The following is a 26545-nucleotide window of genomic DNA, read 5'->3' as shown; positions in this document are numbered from 1 at the left end:
GCCTCCCCCAAGCTAGACGTTGGTTTGGAAATGATCTATCTCCTGTGGTGAGTCTAGTGCAGATTGATCCAATAGTGTCCATTATAGCCTCTAAATATCTGGCCTGGGCTGACCTCAAGAATCCCAGAAACATGGATTGGTTCCAAGGTCACCCAGAAACTCGTTGGTCTTGCTTTAAGAAACTACAGAAATTTGAAAAAACTCTGGAATCATTTCTATATAGGATGACAAACAAAACTCAAGTGTTAGTGGTATGACATTATAGCCTCTAAATATCTGGCCCGGGCTGATCTCAAGAGTCCCAGAAACATAGATTGGTTCTAAGGTCACCCAGACACTTGTTGGTCTTGCTTTAAGAAGCTCCAGAAATTTGAAAAAACTCTGGAATCATTTCTATATAGGATGACAAACAAAACTCAAGTGTTAGCGGTGTGACAACTCATCAGATCTTTTCCGAGTTCTCTAAACCATGTGGATCAGTTTAGACTTTGCCACTGGGTGAGGTCAAAAGATTGCTGATCCATCTTGCTTTCACTGAGATTGGATTTCACAATAAAGCAGCCTTTCCCCTGGTGTCTTTGGCTCTCAGGATTTTGATTCCGTCCAGACCCTAAGTAAAGGGCAGGAGAAAATTTTGAAAGAAAAAGAAAGAGAGCGGGAACAAATGTGTTCTGAATTTCACATAACAAAGTGGAGCTCTGGGTTGTGGTTGAGCTTGGGAGCAGATGCCCTCATCCCTCTTCCCTCTGAGAATGCAGTGGGGAAATATCTGGGCTGCTCCAGTGAAGCTGTGGCATTTGGGTTTAATCTGATAGACCTGAATGTGCCTACTCTGAATCCAGACGAGGTTTTGGCCTGATGTTTTTGCCCAAACCTCAAGTGAGTATAAGCAAAGGAAGCCAAGTTCCCCACTTGTATCTACTGACTCATTCTACTAGAAGTCCGTTGCCCTTGTAACAGTTCGTGTTGTTTATTGGCTTCTGCCTTAAAAAATTTAAAATATAGTTGAACTGAAAGTTGATAGGTTATCATTTGAAGGAGGAAGTGGAAAGTTCCAAAACAGACAACAAAAGAAGCAAAACTTTGATTTTCACTGTGGCTGTTAGGACCCGCCCTTCCTCCTGAATTTTCAGCAGATGAGAGGGATTTTTTGTTTGTTTGTTCAATTTAATGCTTCAATTTTCAGGAAGGAGCCAGATGAAGCTTCTTAGGCATTATCTGCCTGGGACGTGATGAATTAATTGCAGGCCTCATTTTGTAGCAGTCGGTATCAATGGATGGGGTGCTAGTTCAGCCCTTTTGAAAGTATGTAGCAGACGGAGGTGGCTCCAATAATTACATTAAGACCGTGGATACACACTTGCCTTAGGGATTTGGAGTTGCGCTTAATCAAATCTGGATTTGACATTTCACAGCCCACATCAAGGATTTCTACAAAGGAACAGCAGAGCATTGCCAGCTCCTGCTCTTACTTAGCATCTCCTCCTGAGTAACTGAACAGTCCTTGTGCTAATCTTATTGATGCTTTGGCTGCATTTCTGCCCTGCTGCACAGCACTCAGCTTCTGTAGACCATCTTTTCTTTCATCTTTTTCTCAGTGAAAAAGTGTTTATTAAGTGTCCATCATGTGCCAGGGCCCTGGGTTAGGATCTGGGGTAGGGTAGATAGGGTGGTGAAAAAGGCTGGATTCTGAGCTCCTGCATTCGTAAAAGGTTACACCTAAGGCCAGAAGCAGTGGCTCATGCCTGTAATCCCAGCCCAGGCAGGTGGATCTCTTGAGCCAAGGAGTTCGAGACCAGCCTGGGCAACATGGCAAAACCCTATCTCTACAAAAAATACAAAAATTAGCTGGGCATGGTGATATGTACCTGTAGTCCCAGCTACTCGGGAGGCTGTGGGGAGATCACTTTAGCTGTGATTATGCCACTGCACTCCAGCCTGGGTAACAGAATGAGACCCTGTCTCAATTTTTTTGTTTGTTTGTTTGAAAAGGTTACACATAGCAGGAGTTACAGAAGGCTAACCCGTGGCTCAAAAGCAATGAACTGTTTTTCAGTTCATTACCTACCACGTGCCAGATAGAGGTAATACAAGGAAGAGTAATAGATGATGCCTGCCCTTGAGGAGTTTAAAGTTCAATGGGGTGGTTTCCAAACTTTAGTAACCCCAGAGGTCCCAGGGATGCCTATTTAAAATGAGGACAAGGAACACGGGAGGCGGAGGTTGCAGTGAGCCAAGATCGCACCATTGCACTCCAGCCTGGATGACAACAGCCAAACTCCGTCTCAAAAATAAATAAATAAATAAATAAATAAATAGTAAAAATAAAATGAGGATGAAGACTTTGCATTTTTATAGGCAGGTATTTCTGAAGTAATTGTTCTTTGGATCATATTTTGAGAAATACTGATAAAAGTATAAGTAATATAAACAAACAGTTGCTTAAATAGCCCCTGTCACAGTAAAGGCGCAAAGGTAGAAGAGCTCAGTTCTCCTTGGGAGGCCATAGAAGGCTTCCAAGATGAAGATCTAGATCAGATCTTGTAGAATGATATACAGTTTAATAGGTAGACAATACCACAGGTAAAGCAGTCAAGGGAGAGAAAGAATTCCAGGCAGAGAAGAGAGCAGGCACAAGACACCAAGGTGGAGAGAATGCACCTATTTAGGTGCCCTGTGAGTACAGAGCGGAGGTACAGGGGAGTTAGGTGATTAAATTTGCATTTTAGGTAGATCATTCAGATGGCAATGGGGTATTTGGTAGGAGACAAACAGGATAGGGGGCAGGGAAAATTTAGGAGTTTCTCGATTAGTGTTGTTAATTGTAAAAATAATAGGTTTGTTGTCAGGATAAATATGCAAAATATTCATTGGTTGTAGGGACATCTATGTATTGAGCTTCTACTGTGAGTTCAGTATTCAGCTGGGGAGAACCACATGTGAATAGATAATTAGAAAGTGATCATGACAATGATAGACATCCACACAGGGTATTTGTGTGGAAACCCAGCCCCAGGAAGAGCTGGAATCACAGAGGAGCCAGGTTGCCAGCACCTTCACTTGGGAGTTCCACCACTGGCATTTCATCGGCACTGTTTCTGCACCTGCTTCTCACCTTTCTCCTCATTCACTGGCTTCCTCTGTCTTCTGTATCTCCCTCATACTTTCTTCCAACTCAAAATTTTTACTCCCTTAGAACTTCACTTTCCCATCATTCCTCAGGGCCATGATTCTGTCTCACAGCATTCTTCTGCTTTAACTCCCACTCTATTGCCTCATCCTCTCAGTATTTACTGTTTGAAATTCCAAGAGAAAGAGTCCAATGGGCCCATCCCATCTCTTCATGCCATGCTTTCTAATAGGTCGCTGGCCAGTCTGTGGGTTGCTGTCCACGAGGAAGGTGACAATCCTCAGCATAATCATCTGTGGCTCAGTAGGACGGGTTTGTAGGGCACAGAACATGACTGCTGAGGGCTGCTCATGTTGCAAGGGACATAAAAATGTTATATCCCCTTAGGAGAATATGTACTTGTCATGCTTGGAAAAAGAGACCAGTGTGATCATCGAGGTGACACTGAGCTGTGTAGGGTTAATTTTTTTATAAGAAACATTTCAGTTTTGTGATGTGGCTGATAAGAAAGATAATGCAAATATTTCCAACTTGAATAACTAAGTGAATGAAGATGCCATTAATCAGGAAATGATACACAAGAAGAAAAGTTTGTTGTGATCGTGTGTTCAGTTGAGACGTAATGACTTTGAAGTGTCTAAAGGTTCTGCAGCTGGATGTAAAGACAACAGTGATTTTGCACAATTATCTGACCTCACATCTCTGCCCAGCTCCTCTATCACTAAAGTCTCCACAAAACCAGGTGAATTCCTTCCTGCATGCTCTGAAAAACCCTGTGTGGATATCTATCATTGTAATTATCACTTGGTAATTATTCATTCAGATGTACTTCTCCCCAACTAAATACTGAACTCACAGTAGAAGCTCAGTAAATGCTGGTCAGTTGTATCCTAGTTGTATACAGAAGCAGACCCAAAACAATGGCTCAAGTATAAGAAGTTTACTCTGGAGATAAAGATAACAGCACAGTAGGAAAGTGCGTTAGTGAGCACAGAAGGGAAGGCAGTCAGGAAAGAGTGGGCCGCTGGAGCTCATTCTTACTGGGGAACCAATATTAACACACACTCCAGAGTTATCCCATTCAGTGGATATTTACATACCAGTTCCATCACTCACTGATTGAGGGCTTCTGGGGTAGGGTGGGAGGATGCTAATTCTCAGTGCTTTCAGCCTGCTCCATGGAGCAGTCAAGCAACTTTTGGGCCAGAGAAAGGGCTCAGGCAAAGAAATGCAGGTTCTGAAAGTTAGAAGTCCCACAGGCATGCACTAAAGTGGCAACGACAAGGGGATATGGCCAGGCATCAACAGCATCTATATAAGTTGAATGAATGAATGAATGATTACCCAGCGTAGTGGAAAGCAATATACTTTGGACCTATTGTGAATCCATGAAATCCCTCTAAATTGTTCTGCCTTAGGTGCAGAGCCTGCAAGTTACTCACTCAAGTTACATGATCAGGAGAGGACAGAGGAGGACCCAATTCTCCATAAAATAGGTATTTGGATATTTATATGTATAAATTTTAAAATAGAGCTTACACTGAGATCCTGGCATCATTCTTTAAATTCATTGTCCATTTGACAGCTCTTTATTTCACCCGCAATCACTTTCTCTTTCCTGTTATAACCACCCATTTAAAAAATACATGAATGGATACATAAAGTATTGCTTTTTAAAGATCTTTCTTTGAGAATTATGGAGACCCCAAGAGATGCTATACCAAAGATCAACTTACTGCCAGTGATCAAATTTGCTCATTGATCTTTGAGGAAAACCAGCATTCTTTGTGGAAAGGAATTGGTAATCGTCTTGGAAACCTAGTCTCAGCTCTTAGAACTGAGAATTTTTTTTCCTAGTTTCTTTGTGGACTCAGTCCTTCAAGAAAGTTTGATAAACTCCCTATACTGACAAGTAGAGTCTAGGGTGGCATGAGTCTGAATCAAAAGTCAGCTTAGAATGCACATGAAGTGGGTAAAGGTCATTACTGGGGTTCAGGGTTACCAACTGAGGCTAAGCAAAGGAGAACATTCAGGTAAAAGCCAAAGAAAAGAAAAAGTTTATGGCAATTTTTCTTTTTTCTTCTTCGTCTTCTTCCTCTTCTTCTTTTTTTTTTTTTTTTTTTTTTTTTTTTGAGACGGGGTCTTGCTTTGTCACCCAGGCTGGAGTGCAGTGATGTGACAATAGCTCACTGCAGCCTCCAACTCCTGGACTCAAAAAATTCTTCTGCCTCAGCCCCGAGTAGCTGGGACTATAAGGAGCATGCCACTACACCTGGCTAATTTTATTTTTGTTTCTTTTTTAGAGAGATGGGGTCTCACTATGTTGCCCAGGCTTGTCTCAGATTCCTGGGCTTCAGCAATCCTCCAGCCTTGGCCTTCCAAAGTGGTGAGATTACAGATGTGAGCCACTGTGCCCAGCCAATGGCAATTTTTTTTTTTTTTTTGAGACGGAGTCTCGTTCTGTCGCCCAGGCGGGAGTGCTGTGGCGCGATCTCCGCTCACTGCAAGCTCCGCCTTCCGGGTTCACGCCATTCTCCTGCCTCAGCCTCCCGAGTAGCTGGGACTACAGGCGCCGGCCACCACGCCCGGCTAATTTTTTGTATTTTTAGTAGAGATGGGGTTTCACCATGTTAGCCGGGATGGTCTCGATCTCCTGACCTCGTTATCCACCCGCCTCGGCCTCCCAAAGTGCTGGGATTACAGGCGTGAGCCACCGCGCCCGGCCGGCAATTTTTAAATCCAGCTTCTGCAATCCCTAGTGTGGGCATGAGAGAACTAATTAAAGGAAAGGATGGTAATCAAACACATGTGACATACTGGGTCAAGTGTAGGAGAATATCCGGAATCCATTAAAGCTGCCCCTTCATTCTGGGGATGGCCCTGAACAAGGCCTTTTGCACATTAGTGATTCATTTGTTAGTGGACTTTGAATTTGTTTATACAATGACAGTCACTGGCTGTTTTGAAAAAATATATATCCTTTTTTTAATGGAAAAGCCTATATATGATGAATTAATGCCAAGTAATTGGTTTTGTGAGCCACAGCTGGAAAGGACTACAAAGATATATAAATGCAGGCTCTTTAAGTCTTTAGCAAGACTTCATCAATTCAGAATGATTTGGAGAAAACAATTACCAGCATAATATGTGAACATTTGGAATTGGGGAACATTATAAAGCATTCATTTTTCTTTTCAAGTGTAAGAATTCAAACTTGGTCCCTGTGAGAATTAGACCCTTCAGGGCCTGCTTAAATAAATTATTGAGAGTAACTTGTAATTGACATATCAATTTCTTCCTATGTAAACAGTCTTTCCACATTTTGTAGCATATTATTCTACCCAACTGTAATATTCTCCCAGCAAAAGTTTAAGGCATCATTCATTTCTTTGGCAAACTCATTGCCCCATGAAGTGAAAGATAAATTTAAAACTCTGCCTAACACCAACTGTTATAGATTGACAATCTGTCTTACTACCTAAAATTAAGAGGAGCATATTTCGTCAACCAAAATTCCTAAAAGACGGAGTAAGTGAGGATTTTCTGTGTTCATGATTACCTCTTTCCACAGGTCATTATCTGTGTCACCAAGACTTTAGGTCAGCTTTGAAATCAGATTTCAAAAGCCTTCAGTTCTGCAAACATCCATAAGTCATGAAAAATTCCCATTAGCCCATTGGCAGTGTTCCTTGTAAACAGCAACTTTCATTCCTTCCCACAACACAGAGCTAAGAAAACGGAGGAAGCTGCCTGCGGCAACTACATACCCTGAGTTGTCACCATATACACATGTTCCCATGAAAAACAAGCAAAAACGGGACTATCAGGAGAGGCAGACACAGAGATGTCTACTCATTCCCAGTGCTTCTTTGGCCCAGTTCTGATTTTTTTTTTTTTTTTTTTTAGGCTAGCATTGATTTTCAAGCATTGGAAGGAATTGGTGAGGGTTTTTGCTAATTAGCAGGGAGGCCAAGCACACCGCTCTTGGCTGCGCCACAAGGAGGTGGTTGCCTGTGGTTTGGGATATTCTTTTCCTCTTCACTGCAGTCTCTGGGATGGTGGGTCTTGTCTCTAAGCAGCTGGAATGAAGGCAGAACGTATATCCCATCATTTGGAAGCAGCATGCATTCAGGTTCTCCTAAATGATCTCTAATAAACATCAAGGCGGGCCCCATTCCTGTGATGTGTATCAGTTTGGGTAAATAAATGCATTTCCTTCAGGATTTCATAAATTTTGATCATAGTGCTTCCTGGGTTTGTCAAATCTAAAAGTTTTAATTATTCTTTTCTGTTCTTACAGGGCTATCTCTTCATCCACTTCATCCATTCAGTGACCCTTTCCTGTACTTTTCAGCTCTGTTCTCTTTGATGAGTTAAAATGAGAGGGCAATGGAGTATAATGGGTAACTTCAAGATCCTAGGAATATGCAAGTCCAGAGCATATTGTTTCCTCATCATTAAAATCAGAAGAATAACAACATGCTCTTTACTGGATTGTTGTAAGGATTAAATAAATTAACATGTGTAGCTATTAGAAGAGAACCTAGTCTGTACAAGCATAAGCGTGATAATCTGAACACACAAACAGAACTAGATAGCTGAGTTTTTCTCTTCTTTATACAAACGTTTTGGAAACTGTTATCTATGCATTTGATAGAAATGTGATTCTAGATTTTTCTGAATCTAGGTGCAGTTGATTCCATCTTCCAGGATGAGATATGTAGTAACCTCACTGTCTAGCCTTAAAGTGGTAGCTGCTCTAACATGTTGACTTTGCACATCATATGTAAAGAACCACACTATTAATCTTACTGAAAACCACATTCATTGTTTATTCAAGCCTGCTCTCATCCAGGCACTTCATTAGGCGGTGAAATTTCAAGAATAAACCAAAGTCTTCACCCTTTGAACCTTACAGTCCTGTTCATAGTTATGTACTATTTATTGCTGTGTAACAAATTACCCTAAAACTTAGCTACTTAAAACAACAAACATTTATCTCACACAGTTTCTGGGGGTCAAGAATCCAGGAGCAGTTTAACTAGGTAATTCTAGCTCAATGTTTCTCACAAAGTGGTACTCAAACTATTTACTGGAGCTACAGGATCAACTAGGCTGGAGAATTTTTTTCCGAGCTTCCTCACCTGATTATTGGCAAGCCTCAATTTCTTGCTGGCTGTTGGAGGCAGGTCCCTATTCCTCACCATGTGAGCATCTCCACAGGCTGTTAGAGTGACCTCAAAACATGACAGCTGGCTTCCCCCAGAGAGAGTAATCCAAGAGAGAGAACGAATGAGAAAGCACCCAAGATGGAAACTGCAGTCTTTTATAGCTCAATCTTGGAAGTAACATCCCATCATTTCTACCATATGTCATTGGTCACACAGATCCTGGTAGCATGTAGGAGGTGGACACACAAGGGTATGAATACAGCAGATAGGGACCATTAGAGACTAACTACCACACAGTGATTGAGAGTCATAGTTTTTTGTGAGTCATTGGTCAAAGGAGACAGATGGGTCAGAGATTCTGTTCCATGCTTTTTATTTGAAAACCCAGCCTCCCATCATCAAGAGGCTCCTCTAGTGCCCTTGATGCTCTCCACCTGATCCTCTGTATCTTGCCAGAAGGTCAGGAGCACGGGAAAAGCACAAGTATAGGGAAATGCACCATAGATTCAAGGGGCTAGACTTGAATGGAGATTGTAAGCATTATTTTGCCCCACATTCCATTGCCAGAAATCACCTAATTGAAAAGGAAGCTGAGCAATACGGTCTGTATGTGTCCCCAGATTAAAAAGGAATGAAATTTGGTGAATGCACAAGTCACTCTGCCACTCCCTGTAGCTGAAAAGAGGCTGTACGTTTAAGCAGTTTACATTTTTTTAAAAAAATGATTCTGTTCAGTTTTAATACAACAAAAATATGATTGCTCACCATTCTGCAACAAAGCAACTGATTGATTGCGTATTTTCACCTTTTCAATGCATTGTAAATGCAGCCCCTGTTAGAGGCCAGTAAGCAGGTGGTGGAGAGTAGTTCCTGAACCATTAAGTTTGCTGCTTTTTCAGGAATACTATTAAGATGCTGGCAGAAACAAGTCTTGCCTTGTTTCCCAAGTGCGGAAAAAAGAAAGTCTTTGTTCCCAAGCAAATGAAAATACAAATCACAAGACTAAAATTATGAATGCAAAACAATATATTAAAATGTGGCTTGTGTGTAGCATTTGCATGCATTTTAATATGCATCTGTCTTTCCCTTTGCTAAATTCAGTAGGCTCTGAAAATATTAAACAATGGAGTACAATTAATGATTAGAGGAATTGTTTTGGAATATATTTTAACCTATTTATATTCCTATTGCCAAACCTCTTGCTCTTTAAGGGCTCTGAGATGTCCAATGAGATCATTTTATTGGTCAGATCTCATATCACTGTAGCCTAAAAACAATTCACAAAAATATTTTTTATAAATTGACGTGATAACGCTCAAATGATTGTAACATGATTAAAACCATTCCCAGGATAGAAAAATCAAATCCAAATTTGGAAGCTGGAAAAGGCTTTAGAGATCCTTTGGATTGGATATTCTCATCCCTCCTACTCATTCCAAAGTCTGGCTATATTTATTTCCAAAGAACCCATAAGAAATTTAAGGCCATTTTTTTTTCCCCAAAAAACCCAATTTGCTGAGCCTTCTGCTCCAGTTATCTTTGCAGCTGAAGTTTTCAGAATTGGTTTTGCCCTTTTCTGGGTTTGTTTTCGTTGCTTTCTATTTGAGCAAACCCCCAAAAGGGAAATCACTTTTAGGGCAGTAGCAAAAATGAACCAAATTTCAACCACACTCAGAATTCTTGCTCTCTGCCCATCAAGGCTTCTGGACCAGAGGAGAATATATTTCATGAGAACACAGCTCTAAGCCATAAACTTGAAATACATCAAGCTCTTTGTTGTTAATTGGCGCTTACCTCACCTGAAGGCCTTTGCCAAGAAGAGCAGAGGGGTTTAATGGGGAAGGAAGAAAGGAAAAAGCCTGAAGTCCTGGAAAACACTCCAAGCCACATGTGATTTTAGCTGGGGGGCTCTCCACTCCCCAGTATGCTGGCGCAACAAAGTGGCCTATGTGCTCTCTCAGCCCTCGGCTGTTTGTTTGGGGGGCAATGCGCAGACTGGGGCCTGAGTGATAACTGCTTCGTGTAATTACGAAGACAGCTTGAAAACTATGCTCCTCTTTGTTTCAGCCTCCAGATGACGGCTGTCTGACTGCTGTTTGTGCCAGTTTTATTTCAAAGCGCTTTTCTTTCCATATTTCAAAGGTCAGTGTGTTTACCGTGGCCAAAAAGAGCCTGTGTGTAAGAGAAAGAAATCCATGTGGCTGAGTGGCAGGAGAACCAGAAGAGGAGTTAGGGAACTGGATTCGAATCCTAGCTCAGCTTCTAGGTAAGTTAGAGAACTAAATGAGTTGATCTCTTCTCCTTTAGCATTGAAAGGGGAGGAAGGAAGTAGTACTAGTGGCCTTATTTTAGATTAAAAAAAAAAAAAAGGCCGGGCGGTGGCTCACGCCTGTAATCCCAGCACTCTGGGAGGCCGAGGCGGGCGGATCACGAGGTCAGGAGATCGAGACCAGCCTGGCTAACACGGTGAAACCCCGTCTCTACTAAAAATACAAAAAATTATCCGGGCATGGTGGTGGGCACCTGTAGTCCCAGCTACTCTGGAGGCTGAAGCAGGACAATGGTGTGAACCCGGGAGGCGGAGCTTGCAGTGAGCCGAGATCGCCACTGCACTCCAGAGCCTGGGCAACAGAGCAAGACTCCGTCTCAAAACAAAACAAAAAAACCTAGAAGTGTGGTTCTCAAAGAAGACGTGTAGTTATTTCCAGTAAAGAAACACTATCAAACACTCAACTGAGAAAATGTCCACTTCATCTCCGTGAAATGGAAATATTTCCTCCCTCAGAGAAAGCAGGCTTGATATTTTGGCCACCCTTGGAAATCTTGAGATTGTTTTTGGTCAAGGAATTTTAGCACTGGGAACGAATAGCAAACCCCAAACCCTTTCTCAGGACTCTTAGTTGGCTTTCTGACGCCATTACTTAGAAAAACAAGGCTGGTTAGACTGAGTTACCTCCCCATATTTAAGACATTAGTGTTTTTATTATGGATATTTGAAAACAGCATCAGATTTCAATGGTGTAAGCTCCATACCTATTTCTCTTTTTTATTTTCTAAATTTTTAAAATGAAGTGGGGTCATTTGATCTCTTATCAAATCAGTTGGAGACTGGTTTTTTTCCTTTAACTTTTATTTTTTTTCTCTTGAGACGGGGTCTGACTCTGTCACCCAGGCTGGAGTGCAGTGGTGCCATCTTGGCTCACTTCTACCTCCACCTCCTGGGCTCAAGCCATCCTCCCGCCTCAGCCTCCCAACCCACCACACCCAGCTAATTCTTTTATTAATATTTTTTGTTGAGACAGGGTTTCACTATGTTGCCCAGGCTGTCTTGAACTCCTGAGCTCAAGCAATATGCTCACCATGGCCTCCCAAAGTGCTGGGATTACAGGCGTGAGCCACCGTGCCCAGCCCATACCTATTTCAGATGCTCTTCGTGATTCATTTTCTTCTAATATGTTTTTCCCATCTATCTTGCTCAATTTTTATAGAATGAGCTCCTGGGAAAAGGAGGTAAATAAGCTGTTGAAGTGGTAGAGAGCCTGCGTTCTGAAGCTACATTTGCCTAGGTTCACATGTTAATACTGCCACTTTGCTATGTGACCTCGGATAATTTGCTTAACTTTTCTGTGCCTCATAGTTTTCTTGTCTACTAATGTAAGTACTTACTTTATGGTGTTGTGAGGATTAAATGGATTAACCCACGTGAAATATGTAGAACAGTGTCTGGGACTTCATAAACATGCAAATGTTGAGCTAATTATGAAAAACACTCCTTTCCGAAATGAATTCTGCACTGGGAAAATTCTTCTCTTTTGTGCTACCGTTTCTCTTCTTGAATCGATCCACCTACATCTGCAGAAGTAAAAAAGTAAATTTGCAAATGCCAAGGGAACAGTGCCTGTGTTGTAAAAGAGAGGAGAAAGTAAAACAGAAAAAAAGAACAAAGGAAATATCTTAAATGTTATTCCCCAATTACTGTGAATTTTCAGCCTCCTGTGAAATAAAGATACTTTCTGCCTTGAGTTTGCACAAGACAAAAAGAATTCTCACTCCTTGACCAGAAAAAAAGCATGACCATCCTTGGCTGTGACTCAAGAAGAATGGAGGAAAGCACAGGAAGGGGAACTAAAGTGTATTGAAGACTTTGTCTACACCCTGGATTTGAATTCATGAGTTGAATACCATTGATTTTATAAGCAAATCAAACTTGATTTTATAATCAACGAATCAAAGAAAAAAAAGGTTCAGGGAGGTGAAGTGGCTTTTCAAGGTCGAGCCAGTCAGTGGCATGGCTGGATGTAAGCCCACTTCTACGTGATGCCAAGGCCCCTCATTTTGCCTCCTTCTTACATCCCCTTCTTAGGAGGAACCTGGCTAAGATGGAGTTCTGAGAGGCTCCCAGGAGTGTAGGCTGAACCTAGACTCAAGGTAATCCATTACTACACAGGCAGTATTATAAGCAAGATGCTCTTGTATTTTTTCTAAGTCATTTATATGCCCGTTCAAATGAGTAGACTCATAGGGGTCTTTGTTTTGAATCACGTAATTTTAGGCTTCAAGGAGAGGGGAACCTTCAGAAAAGTCATTTCCGTTCACTTCTAAAGTGAGAATAGTTAAGTTATACCCACTTTAAAGATGCCTTCTAGCTCTCACTTAAAAAATTCTATGTTATCCAAAGCAACTTATGAATAAGGTACTGCCTCAGTTTCTTATTGCTGCTATGTAAATTAGTCCAGACTTAGTGGCTTAAAACAACACAGATTTATTATGTGAAATTTATGGTTCTGGAGGTCAGAAATCCAAAATGGGTCTCACTGGACTAAAACTAACGTGTTGTCAGGGCTGCATTCTTCCTGTGGGCTTTAGGGGAGAATCTATTTTCTTGACTTTTCTAGAATCTAGAGGCTGCCTGCATTGCTGGGCTCATGGCCTCTTCCCATCTTCAAAGCCAGCAATGGCCAATCAAGGTTTTCTCACATTATACCACTCTGACATTGACTCCTCTGCCTCCCTCTTCTACATTTAAGGAACCCTTGTGATTCTACCCAGAAAATCCAGATTAATCTTATTTTAGGTCAGCTGATTATCATGCTTAATTCCATCTACAACTTCATTTCTCCTTTGGCGTGTAATATAATATATCCACAGATTCTAGATATGGACATCCTTGAGGGGCCATTACCTTGCTGACCACAGGTACCTACATGATGTTGTCAACAGGATGCATCTTTAGTATTTGAGCTCTGCCACATTCTAGTGGCCTAACGTGGACAAGTTACTTAACCTCTCTGTGCCTCAGTTTCCTCACATGCGGATAATAGCAGTATTTATGGGGTTGTTATGAAGATTAAATGAATGAATACTTTTAGGACACTGCTGGATGATTAAGTCCTAGCTCTTATTATTATTATTATCTTTGTGATTATTGTTTTGAAGATGATGTGGACAACCAGAACATAATTTATGTAATTTATGCAGCTAGTTGATACATTGATTTCAAGATAAATTGTTTTGCTATGTGCCAGAGGCAGTTGCTATCTGTGACTTCTCCTTGTCTCCTCTTTCCCTCTATTGGCCAGCAATCTGAAGGCCACTCCCTCTGATAACTTCTGCCATTGATTCAGCCACTGGGATGGCCCAGAGAGGACAACAGTCTAGAAGTGTGCAAACATGCATCAAAGATGTTATGCTAACAGAAACAACAGGAGCAATGACATAGGCATTGTCTTTTTATTCATTTGGGAGTTTCAGTCTGAAGAAATGTTGAGGTCAGTATCAGACTAACTTAATGTCAATCCTCTGGTTCAAAGCTTCAATACAGAAATGCTAACATTGTCTCCTCTCTACTACAGGCAGGGTAAGCTTTAGATCGTCACCAAAAATTGGCCGGGGTTCAAATCCAGGCTCCAGCTGTTGATAAATTTGTGTCCTGGTATAGATTAAGATGGGCAGGCCCTTAAGGATAAGAGAACACAAAATTCCCATAGAGAATTTTTTTTTTTTTTTGAGATGAAGTCTCACTCTATCTCCCAGGCTGGAGTGCAATGGCACGATCTCAGCTCGCTGCAGCCTCCGCCTCCCAGGTTCAAGCAATTCTTCTGCCTCAGCCTCCTAAGTAGCTGGGTTTACAGGTGCGTGCCACCATGCCCAGCTAATTTTTGTATTTTTAGTAGAGACGGGGGTTTCACCATATTGGCCACACTGGTCTCGAACTCCTGCCCTTAGGTGATCCACCCTCCTCAGCCTCCTAAAGTGCTGAGATTACAGGTGTGAGCCACTGCGCCTGGCCGAGAGTATTTTTATATGAAGAAGTCCTCTTCTGTCAATGTGAGGGGAGTTAACTCAGGTGGATTATGAGTCAATGCCACCTCTAGTCTTACAAACCATTATTTTCTTTAGGGCAAAGCCCATAGGGGGATACCTTTCAGGTTTGTTTGTTTGTTTGTTTGTTTAATTCAACTGATGGATTCAAAATGCTCCTTGTGAAGTTTTGGGGCTCACCTCAATTGTGACCTGGGTAAGCTGCAGGTTTGATAGACTACTAAAGTTTGGCCAAACCCTAAGTAAGCCAGAACTGAGCCCAAACTCCAAGTAAGCTGCAGGGATTCTGCTGTCCCATCTTTATCCTCCCATAGTCTGATGAAAATCTCTTTTATAGATTCAGTCTGAGTCCATTTTCCTCATCTCTAGTTGCAAAACTTCTTCATGGAGATAGAAAGAACTTGGGCACATGAATTCCATCTTGGTCATGACCTTGACACCACCCCTACTCCCTTCTTCACTGCCTTGGAGCAAACGTGGCCCATGTGGATAAGAACCTCATAAAGAAGCCCCACTTATTTTCCACATCCCTAATTATTTCGTTGACTCCAACCAGGTTTTCTAAACCTGTTTGTGTATATTTAGACATACGGTGTGAGTAATTTGTGAGCATTTATCGAGAAGTCTTATCCAAATTCCTTTTAAGAAAGATGCCAGGACCTCATTCTCAATTCTGTTACTGAAACTGTGATTTTTCCCATTTTAGAGTTGAGATGCTTAAGCTACACAGGAATACGGATTTCACTTTCAATAAAATCACCGGCTGGTAAAACCCAAATTAAAACAGAGCATTGGAAATCAAGCTGCCTTTTTCTATTAGAATTAACAAGAGCTGTTTCATTTTCTAAATCAAAAGTTTTGGACTCTGAAATCCTATTTGTAGAGAATACTAGGCGTTATTAAAAATGCAGATAGTTGTTTTGAGCTGGCATGTTTTCCTGTGGTTGCCAGGATGCTGTGAGGGCAGGTACACATAATACATTAACATTTTAATCAAAGAATAAAGAACGAGGAGAACACATGAAATGCTCCAAAGCATTTAGGAAAGATAATGCCTCATCTTGAGACTCAGCAGTGACTTCATTGTTAGAAAAAAAGCTGTTTGTATAATACACGCCTGTTCTAACTAACCTTCCCTACCTATATTTCCCTTCTGTCTGTAATTCCCCATCTTAAAATAACAATAACTAATAATAATAATGATAACAATAAAAACTTTGTTTGGCTTGGTACCCCCTTTTATTCCTCTAAAAAGAAGAGATTCTTAGCGTGGGCTCCGTACAAAACTTTATATGTGTGTTTGTAGTGGTATTTTTCTGAGAATTAGGTACATAGCTTTCATAAACATACAAATAATTTATAACCTCCAGTAGAAATTAAACAAGCCAACAAAACAAATGTGGAATATATGGTGTCCTCTTAGTTCATCTTTTTTCACTAGTGTTTTGTTTCAGCTGGGCTTTTGAACAAAGCTAATGAATAGTCAACTCAAGGGTTATATTGACCCTTGAATTGTAATGGTCAATTAAGTAATTGTAATATCATGTAATTGTACTTGTAATGGTGCTGACCATTACTTTGTAAAGTGATAGAATCATTCAGATATCCTGCTATCCAATTCAATTCAAACCCATTTTCCTCCTTAAAACCATTTGCTGTCCACCATTTCCAAGATTTCTGTCATGACTTTTCCATTCTCTTAGGCAATCTCCCTCCTTAGTTTGTTGTAGAGTCTTTCTTGACCTTTCTCTCTCCTATCTAATTAGCTGGCAATTTTCTCAGGGGAAGTCTTTTACATACAGTTTTTTCTTTTAATTACTAAAACAAAAACAAAAACTGCACTGATGGTTTTTACCACTGGATCACCATTAGGATCACATGAAGAGCTTTTTGTACTGAAGCTTAGACCCTAGACCCAGACAGTTTCATATAACTGCTCTGGGATAAAGCCTGGACATCGATGTAAAAAAAGAAAAAAATCTCCTGAGGGTGCAGCCAGTGCTGAGGGTCACTTGCCTACCCTATCTTATATGACTATGTTTTTGCTATGAAAACCTCTAGCTGGTGATCTTGTGTCCAATCTTCTTACTCTCCACTTTATTCCATATGACTTTCCCCTCCCTTAGATTAAACTCAGCCTCTTAATTTCCCCATAGCTTCCATTGGTTAAGAAACTCCATTGCCTTCCATTGTAGTGGCCTTTAAATTGTTCTGTGGGGCTTTAAAGGTTCCACAGAATCCCATTGGAACCCTTGACTGGAGGAGGATGAGGAGATAGTCCTCTCAGTCATCTCTTCCCTAGTTTTACAACTAGGGCCCTCAAAAATAAAGTGCAATGAGTTTCTTAAAGACTATAGTAAAGTTAGATTAGAACTCAAATCCCCTTACCCTTGGCCTTTTTTTCTAATTCAGAAAGCTACCTATCCCAGAGCTATACTAATTGATGAAGGTTGGTGCTAGGCCTTTGCCATTTTTTTCTATTTGCTAGCTCTATCCTGCAGTCTTGGCTTTCTTGCCTGGAACATCTTTGGCAGGTGTACCTGTGTCTTCAGGAAAATCAGATGTGACTGAAAGATTTGGCTTGTCCAATTTGTCACGACTTGTTGACAGTGGCCCTGGGAACTGTGGCACCAGTAGCACTAGGGCTTTGATGCCATGCCTGTCAACCTAATAACATTGTGTTTAAGCACAGCGCATTCCACTTTAGCCCCAAGGTCTGTCTATAACCCTATGTATTAAACAGTTAACTCTAGGACAAGCTCTATGGGTTGTCTAAATAGCAGCTTATCTGTGATTCACGGTGAATCAAATGTTCGACCTGCCCCAAAATATCATACCTACTCACCCTGCATGTTACCTATTCAGGTTTGGTAGCTTCTCATGGTAATAAGGTAATCTTTATTTTTTAAATGCACGTGTTCTATTTCAAAAGCATAACATTGTCAGTATTCATTAATACCTTAAAACAAATTTGATTGATATTTTTTCTCATCTGGTTCAGAGCAAAAGTCCTCAGGGAACAGCACCGGCGTAGGTGAAAGTTGATTGATGAGGGTAGGTGTGAAGAAGAGCACAGAAAATAATTTTGAGCTTGGGTGCAGTGTTACAGGACGAGCTTGGACACTCACAGGAGACAGCAAAATGGAAAGTGGATGCCAAAGAATATGAGCTGCCTGATTCCCAGTTTTGCCAAATTCAGCACTTTCCCCAGAGTTTTTTTGGTTAGTTCCCTTTATTTATTGATTTTGCCATTGCTTTGGCAGAAGTGCAAAAATTTGGGAAAGAATAATAGCATCACTATAACGAACATTTATTGAGCACTTACTCTGTGCTAGGTGTTGTTCAAAGCATCTGACATGTATCAACTTATTGTATTAGTCTCCTCAGCATGTAGAGATAGATTGCCATTATGATATTCATGCCACAGATCATGAAACTGTGGCCCAGATGTTTGAAGAATTTCCCTAAGATCATCCACCAAGTAAATCATGAAATCAGGATTCCAAGCAGTCTAGCTCCAAAGCCTGTACTATTTTACTTTATTTTATTTATTTTATTTTATTTTTTTTGTAGCGACGGAGTCTCATTGTATTCCCTAAGCTGGTCTTGAACTTCTGAGCCCAAAATATCCTTCTGCTTCGGCCCTTCAAAATGCTGGGATTAAAGCCTGCATTCTTCAGGCTGGGAGTGGTAGCTCATGCCTGTGATCCAAGCGCTTTGGGAGGCTAAGGCGGGTGGATCACTTAAGCTTAGAAGTTCGAGACCAGCCTGGGCAACATGGTGGAAATCCCCTCTTTACAAAAAAATACTAAAATTAGCCAGGGGTGGTGGCACACACCTGTAGTCCCATCCACTGGGGAGGCTGAGGTGGGAGGATTGCTTGAACCCGGGAGGTTGGGGTTGCAGTGAGCCATGAATGTGTGACCGCACTCAAGCCTGGGTGATAGAGTAAGGCCCTATCTCAAAAAAAGAAAAGAAAAGAAAAAGAAAAGAGGGGGAAGGAAGGAAGGAAGGAAGAAAGAAGGGAAGGAAGGAAGGAAGAAAGGAAGGACTGTATTCTTAACCTCTATTGTCTCTCAAACTTACAGCATTGATAAGTGGTAGGAAGATTCTTCAAATCCAGAGAGTCTGATTGTAGATCATCCCACTATAATGTCTCCTGAGCTGCAATGGATTTTTCAAGTATATTAGACTTTTACGTTCATGGAGACTCGAGTGGTCCAGAAAAAGTTACTTGGTTTAGGATCTTCTTGAAGTTGTAGCAGTCTGGTGTCTCAATAACAGTGCTCTATTGGTTTAATATAAAATAGCAATCTGAAGAAGGAAGTTGAGTGTAAACCTCACAAAGTGTTCAGCAAAATCCCTGCCCAGCTGTTAGTGTCCCAAACTAAAACGGAGAATTCAAACAAAATCACTTCTTGTCTCTGTAAAGGTCAGCTAAGATAAAAATGGTTTAATATTTTTCCCTTCTCTATATGACCAAAACATTGCCAGTGTCCAGGGAACATAAAAAACAAAAACAAAAACAAAAAAAACCCAGAAATCTTGGATATAGGAAATCACTACACGGTCTTTACATGTGTTTTTTTAGGCTTTCTAAAGGGCTTTTTGGATATCAAATGAATCTTCCCAGCTTCCAGGAAATAAACAGATGGCAGGTATCATATTAATTCAAAAATGTGATTAGAATTTGAAGAAAGATCTGCTCGGGTCTTCTCTTTCCCCATCTCCCCCAAAGATGGAACTAATTCTAGTAAGAGGGTCCATTTTGAAGCAGGAGAGAAAAATAAAATGCCTTTTAAGGCCAGTGTTACTGGATGAAGATCATCTTTCTTTTTCTTTTTCTTTTTTTTTTCTTTTTTTTCGAGACAGAGTCTCACTCTGTCACCCACGCCGGAGTGCAGTGGCATAATCTCGGCTCACTGCAACCTCTACCTCCCGGGTTCAAGCACTTCTGCCTCAGCCTCCCGAGTAGCTGGGATTACAGGTGCTCAGCACCATGCCTGGGTAATTTTTGTATTTTTAGGGGAGATGGGGTTTCACTGTGTTGGCCAGGCTGGTCTCAAACTCCTGATTCCCTCTGATCCTCCTGCCTTGGCCTCCCAAAGTGCTAGGATTACAGGCATGAGCCTCCAAGTCCGGCTGGAGCTCAGCTTTCTGATGACTCTCTAGGAGCTGAGAGTATGGAAAAGGAATTGCTGAAGAAAGTGGGATGGGATCAAAGGCAGGTTTACACAATGTGTAAGCTATGGGGGCAGTGGGGGGAGGGGGGGGCTCCATCTTAGAAATCCTTTCTTCTTTTCATCTAGTAATTAGCTATTCTCATACCCAAATTAAAGTATTTCTCCCTAACATTCAGTAAATAAATGTGAAACAAACAAACTCCAACAAACAAAAGGATACTGTTGGTTTGTCAGAAAAAGTTCTTTTCTGTTATTCTCCAGTTTTCAGGAGGGAAACACCTCACCCACTCTCTTAATAGATTTGACCTACCTTTGCTTGAGAACATCTTTCATTTCCATGGAAGCTTTAAAGAAACAGTAATACATCACAGCAAGGCTTCCCAACCTTTTTTGTCAAAGAGAAGCTGCTTTTCATTTTCCCTAAAGCTTTAAGGTCAAGAGATGGGGGTGGGGAGTTCCCAGTAGATTATTCCATTCCTCCTCGGGGAACTTAACAACCCCAGGCCACTGACGTGAGCACCATCAAATCAGGCTTCCAGATCTACCCACATTTACTGGTTAAGAACTCCCATACAAGAATTCTTCCTTTCAATGAGAAATGGAAAAACTCATAAAAAAAATAAGCAATTGCTTGCTGTTTCACTTTCCCAGAAGATGTTCTGAGCACCAGTTAACCTCATTTGCCATCAGAATCAGCCAAAACAGTGAAAGTGACATAGTTTAGCCTCTGAAAATTATTTCTTCATAGCTGGACACCATCCATGTATATTCCCCAAACCAAGTTTTCTGTGAATGCCCTTGTTGCTCTAGGCAGAGTTTCCAGGCTTGCCTTCCCCATTGAATGGAATGTTCAGCCAGGTTTCCACCCCTTGGAGGGCTACTTTCCTGCTAAGATAAGAATTTCTCTGGAAATAAATTACTGACTGTAGGTGCTCACAATCTCACTATCCATTTGCTCTTAAACCAACTCACAATTCTTGAGTTTTCAGAGTAAAAACTATGCTTCCCTTCTGGATTGGAGGACATGCAGTGTAGAGATGAAAAAATTATTTTATCTATCCAGGTGGCCATGCTAAGATGGCTCCCTAGGACTGCCCTAGGCAGGACCCTATAGGCAACAGAAATCAGCCCCATCGAGTTGTAGATTTAATAGTTGGAAGAAATCGCAATGGATCATTTGATCCAGTTCAGACATCTTGGGTAGAATGACTCCATTTTACTGAAGACAAAGTGGAGAGCCTGAAAGGTGAAAGGCATATCCAAGGTTATCTGGTCATCTTGTAGAGCTAGAGAAGGCAGGAGACCTAGGGCCCTTATCTACTATCTCCTACTTCAATACACTGCTTTGCAAATGCTTAAAGGACTATAGGATGCCAATACCTAATGACTTTCTCATGCCCATGAGGTGTTTGCAAGGGAGAAAGAATGGAATACTTCTTAATACAACATAGGAGGTCCTATGATATCAATTCCTTCTGAGGTCTAACTTAATCTGACCCAAACCCAGCTGGGCATGGTGGCTCACACCTGTAATCCGAGCACTTTGGGAGGCTGAGGCAGGAGGACTGATTGAGCCCAGGAGTTCGTGACCAGCCTGGGCAACATGGTAAAACCACCATCTCTAAAAAAAATAAAAAATAGATTAAAAACCTGACCCAAACTTGAGCAAAGGAATGACCTGTAACATATTCGGTATTTATGGATTGATGGACTATTTTAATTAATTAATTGATGTTTTAGAGACAGGGAATCCCTCTGTTGCCCAGGCTGAAGTACACTAGCACAATCATAGCTCACTGCACCCTCCACTCCTGAGCTCAAGTGATCCTCCCACCTCAGCCTCCGGAGTAGCTAAGACTACAGGCGTGTACCACCATGCTCAGCTAGTTTTTTAATTTTTTGTAAAGATGGGGTCTTACTATGTTGCTCAGGCTGGCCTTGAACTCCTGGGCTCAAGTGATCCTCCTGCCTTGGCATCCCAAAGTATTGGGATTACGGGTATGAGCCATGGTGCCCATGAGGATTGACTTAGATGCCTGTCTTCATAACATAGTTCCTTACCCATTTTTGTGAACTTTATTACACACATTGTCCTCTGCTGAAGTCTTCTCTTGTTTTTCTCATGTCTTGCCACCTCAACTCGGTTTTTTGATATTGTTTGGGTCTTTCCTTCATCACTGAATGATTCTTCAAATGTCAGATAGTTGGAGCTGGGATTAGGGGTGAGTGTCAATAATTTGAGCTACTTCGAGGCAGAGGCAGGAGAATCACTTAAGTCCAGGCATTTGAGACCAGCCTGAGCAACACAGAGAGACCCATCTCAAAAAACAAAACAAACAAACAAACAGAAGTCATATAGGTAACGCTATTCCTGGATCAACCAGATTCCCAGGGCTTCCTTTTTATATGTTGCTTGTAGTTAGACACCCATCAGACATTGATCGGTGGTGAAATGGTTGGTTACAATTGTTATGGTTGTGGTTTTGGTTGTTACAATTACTAGCTCCACAGCTATATATAATCTATACAAACTGCCTTTATCATAACTGTAATAAAGATAGGCAGAATTTAGGAAGAGTGAGAGGGAAAAAAAAAAGAAGCAGGTAGTAGGGGTTATTTGTGGAGTTCCTATTTAGTGCATGTCTATGCAATAACCAAGTACTATCTGGAGCTCTAAATATACAGTGGAAATACAGATTCTGCACTTGACGTATGCATTTTGAGTTACTGCAGGCAGAGATACCAAGAATGTTATGCAGTTGAATAAAAATACCCATTCCCACACAGACAAATGTGGGAAAGGGAACCATATGGAACCTGAGAGAGGATGGCCATATTTTAGAGAACTAAATGAAAGCAAGGAAAGGATAGAAATAGGATCAGGACATAGACATTTTTCTTAACCTCAGTAGCTAAAGTTTCCCCCAGTTGCTTTGTGGAATGGAGTAGAAGTCCATTTTAGATAAATATTATTATCTAACATTATACATTTATATTATTCAACATTATTGTGAGTTTGGATATAGAGTTATTTATACTGTATTTGATTATCTATTGCCATGTAACTGATTATCCCAAGATTTAGTGACTTAAAACAACAAACTATTATCTCACAGTTGAGAGTCAGAAATCCAGGAGTAACTTAGCTAGGTGGTCGTGGGTCAGGGTGTCTCATGAGGTTATAGGCAAGCTGTCAGCTGAGGATACATCATCTAATTTGGATGGGCTTGGAGGTTCTGCCTCCAGAAAGCTCACAAAGCAGTTAACTTGAGTCCTCAGTTCCTCAGTGGTGTCGTCTGAAAGTCTCAGTTCCTTGCCATGTGGGCATCTCCACAGAACTCCCTGGGTGGCCTCAAGACATGGTAGCTGGTTTCTCTCAGAGTGAGTGGTCCAAGAGAAAAGGAGCCGGGTAGATTTAACATGAAAGCTTAAGCTTCAATCTTTTTCTCTTTTTTGGAGAGGGGGTAATTTTTTATTGTGGTAAGGTAAATATATATATCATACACACATACGTATATATATGTGTATATATATATATAACTTACCATTTTAATCTGTTGTAAGTGTACAATTCAGTGGCATTAAGTACATTCACATCGTTGCGCAACTCTCAGCACTTCCTATTTCTAGACCCTTTTCATCATCTCAAATAAAATTTCTATACCCATTAAACAGCAGTAACTCTCCATGCACCAAATCCCCAGCTCCTGGTATCTTCTACTCCACTTTCTGTCTCTATGAATTTGCTTACTCCAGGTACCTTTTTCTTTTTATAAGTTGAATCATACGATACTTGTCCTTTTCTGTCTGGTTTATTTTACTTAGCATGTTTCCAAGACTCATTCTTGTTGACCAGGTATGGTGGCTCATGCCTGTAACCCTAACACTTTGGGAGGCTGAGGCGGGAGGATGACTTGAGTCCAGGAGTTCAAGAACAGCTTGAGCAACATAGTGTGACCCCAATTCTAAAAAAAAAAAAAAAAAAAATTAAAAAAATTTTTAAAAGATTCATTCCTGTTGTTGCATGCATCAGAATTTCATGCCTTTTTAAGGCTGAATAATTTTCTGTTCCATGTATATACCACATTTTATAGATGGATGGATAAATAAAATATGATATATACATGCAGTGAAATAGTATTATGTTGTTTCCATTTTTGCTGCAGTCTTTTCGAAACCTACTATGGAAGCGGCATCCCATCATTTCTATTGTAATCTATTCCCTGGAAACAAGTCACTAAGTCCAGCCCACACTTACAGGGATGGGGTAGGACAGAGGTACCAAAGAATCTGTGGGCATATCTCTAAAATGATAGCAGACACCTAAGTTAATTTTAGCATCTGCACACAATTCTTTTCAGAGTATGGGCTCAGTCATTACTAATTCTCTTGATGGATTTATAAAATCCTGAGTTTAAGAATCTTTCAGCTGGGCGTGATGGCTCATGCTTGTAATCGAGCACTTTGGGAGGCTAAGGTAGGTGGATTGCTTGAGCCCAGGAGTTCGAGACCAGCTTGGGTAACATGGTAAAACCACGTCTGTACTAAAAATTCAAAAATTAACCGGGTGTGGTGGCATGTGCCTATCGTCTCAGCTACTTGGGAGGCTGAGGTGGGAGTATGGCTTGAGCCCAGGAGGCACAGAATCATGCCACTGTATTCCTGCCTGGGCGACAGAGCCGGAGCCTATCTCAAATAAAACAAAATAAAAAGAGTCTTTCCAGGGACTAGACCTGAAGTAACCCCTACCAGAGTATAGTGCTGAAAATGGGCAAAACAGAAAAATGGCATGACTTATAAATATTGCCCTAACAAGGCTTATTTTGGTACAGCAGGCATTGTAGATACAAACCTGATTTGTACGCTGATCTTAGGCCTGGGTTTCCCAGCAGCAGGAGTGAGAATAGACCTGCCTCGTGTGTTATTCTCCTGCATGTAGTGGGTGCTATTTCAGTAGTGGTAGTGGCTGTGGCATATGTATTTAGAGCATATTCAGAGTTATTCCTGCTGGAGTCTCTCTTTATATGGAGTTGACAGAAGGCTTAGTCTGTAGTGACAAAAATAACAACAAAAAGGAATAATCCCCAAAACGATTATCCTTTTTATTAATTCCGTCACCATTCTTATTTCTTTCTTTCAAGATTAGCACCACAAAGCTAAACTCTTTTGCCTTTTTAATTTATTGCACTAGTTCAATTTTCTATTTTGTGATGAATGTAAGGGATTTGGAAGTGGTTTGTGAAGATGAAGGCAGGAAGGATGGGAAAAAAAGCAATTACCTCATACCAGTTACACCAGGAAATAGTGGAGGTGCCATTCCTCTGGCATTTCTGCCCATTTTTCTTCATTACTATAATGGCGGCTGCTCTCCTCATTACCAGCACATTTCTCTTCATTACCAGCGTGGTGATAGGGGGGATGATGAGTGCTATTTACAACCAGCATTCTGTGAAAGGTCCAGCAGATGAATAATAACTATTCACACAGATATGGGGAGGCCAAAAAAGGCAAATGGTTAAAGTGAGGCTGTTGTGTTTCAGAAAGGCAGGGAGGCGATTTCCTCTGAAGAGAGAGGGGGCTCATATTCCTCAATGAGGGGACTGCCTTACAGAGCTGGGCTGGAACAGTCCAGGTACTTGAGTGTGTTCTCATAAGAACTGGCCAGAAAACAGTGACATATTTAACCTTTAAATGTGTGTATATCCATAAATATAGACACATCTTGTTGGTTCTGTTTCTCTGGAGAATCCTAATGCAGGTAGATGGATGGATGGATGGATGGATGGATGGATGGATGGATGGATGGATATGTAGATAGATTGATAGATAGACAGATACACACACACATATGTAGATACACAGATGGATAGATGATAGTTTTTATCTATCTATATGGAGAGAGAGAGATTTATTTTAAGAATTGGCTCACATGATTGTGGAGGCTTGGCAAGTCCACAATCTGATGGGGGAGGCCAGCAGGCTGGAGACTCAGGGAAGAGTTGCAGTTGGAATCAAAAGGCTGTGTGCTGACAGAATTCCTTCTTACTTGACGGAGATGAGTCTTTGTTCTATTCAACCCTTCAACTGATTAAGTGAGGCACACCCACATTATAAAGTTTAATAAGCCGTTCTCAAACTCTACCATTATTGATTTTAATCTCATCCAAAAAGCACCTTCCTAAAAACATTCAGAATGATGTTTCATTATTCTGGGCACCATGGTACAGCCAAATTGACATGTACAATAAAAAATCACACTATTTATCTATCTGTCTATCAATCTATCATCTATCCGTAAATCTAGACTAACAAGGTATAAAGAACTTGCAAACCACACATAGAGATGCTAAATTGGGTTCTTACCTAATGACAAGTCTTCAAACTGAGCTGTTGGGATTCTTCGTGGGGTGTGGCCAGTGGCGGCTAGCCAGGAATGGAGTCTTACCTTTCATCAGTCATGCTTTCAGACACTTGAATTGAGGGCAATAATGACTCCAAGGGCAGGAGAGGATCTGTAAGTGGGTTTGGAGGAGAGGCACAGTGTAGATATGGTTGGAAAGTGAGGTGAATTATTTATTAAAGGGCACTGTTAAATTTCACTAATTGCTACTCTTGCTTTTTCTCGATAGCAATGGCTTTTACCCTTGTCCCACGGCCCCCCTGCCCAACTCAAGAAGGTGATGAAATAGGCTGCAGAAGTTCCCAGCCAGGCAAGTAGAAGCAGGTCAGCTTCCCAGAGA

At 41.1% G+C, this 26545-nt stretch overlaps 1 long non-coding RNA gene across 2 annotated transcripts in view, besides 2 other annotated features; it reads left to right on the top strand.

Moving 5' to 3' along the window:
- Positions 1 to 26545, top strand: part of LINC02391 (long intergenic non-protein coding RNA 2391) — a 104570-nt gene that overhangs the window by 64782 nt on the left and 13243 nt on the right. Inside the window, exons 3-4 of one of the 2 annotated variants that reach the window (XR_007063403.1) lie at positions 10444 to 10567; positions 26435 to 26529. The exons of the other annotated variant lie outside the window; for it this stretch is intronic. This is a non-coding gene — a long non-coding RNA (long intergenic non-protein coding RNA 2391). The remainder of the gene's footprint in view (positions 1 to 10443; positions 10568 to 26434; positions 26530 to 26545) is intronic. 2 annotated transcript variants of the gene reach the window in all.
- Positions 900 to 949: an enhancer, noted in NCBI's record as "active region_6729". NCBI's record gives its function as "activates an Ori minimal core promoter by ATAC-STARR-seq in GM12878 lymphoblastoid cells {active_cell/tissue: GM12878}" and the evidence as "EXISTENCE:reporter gene assay evidence [ECO:0000049][PMID:35858748]".
- Positions 980 to 1069: an enhancer, noted in NCBI's record as "active region_6728". NCBI's record gives its function as "activates an Ori minimal core promoter by ATAC-STARR-seq in GM12878 lymphoblastoid cells {active_cell/tissue: GM12878}" and the evidence as "EXISTENCE:reporter gene assay evidence [ECO:0000049][PMID:35858748]".

The sequence above is a fragment of the Homo sapiens genome, chromosome 12, assembly GCF_000001405.40.
Source record: "Homo sapiens chromosome 12, GRCh38.p14 Primary Assembly".
Lineage (NCBI taxonomy): Eukaryota > Metazoa > Chordata > Mammalia > Primates > Hominidae > Homo > Homo sapiens.
This window is presented reverse-complemented; position numbering and strand designations above follow the sequence as displayed.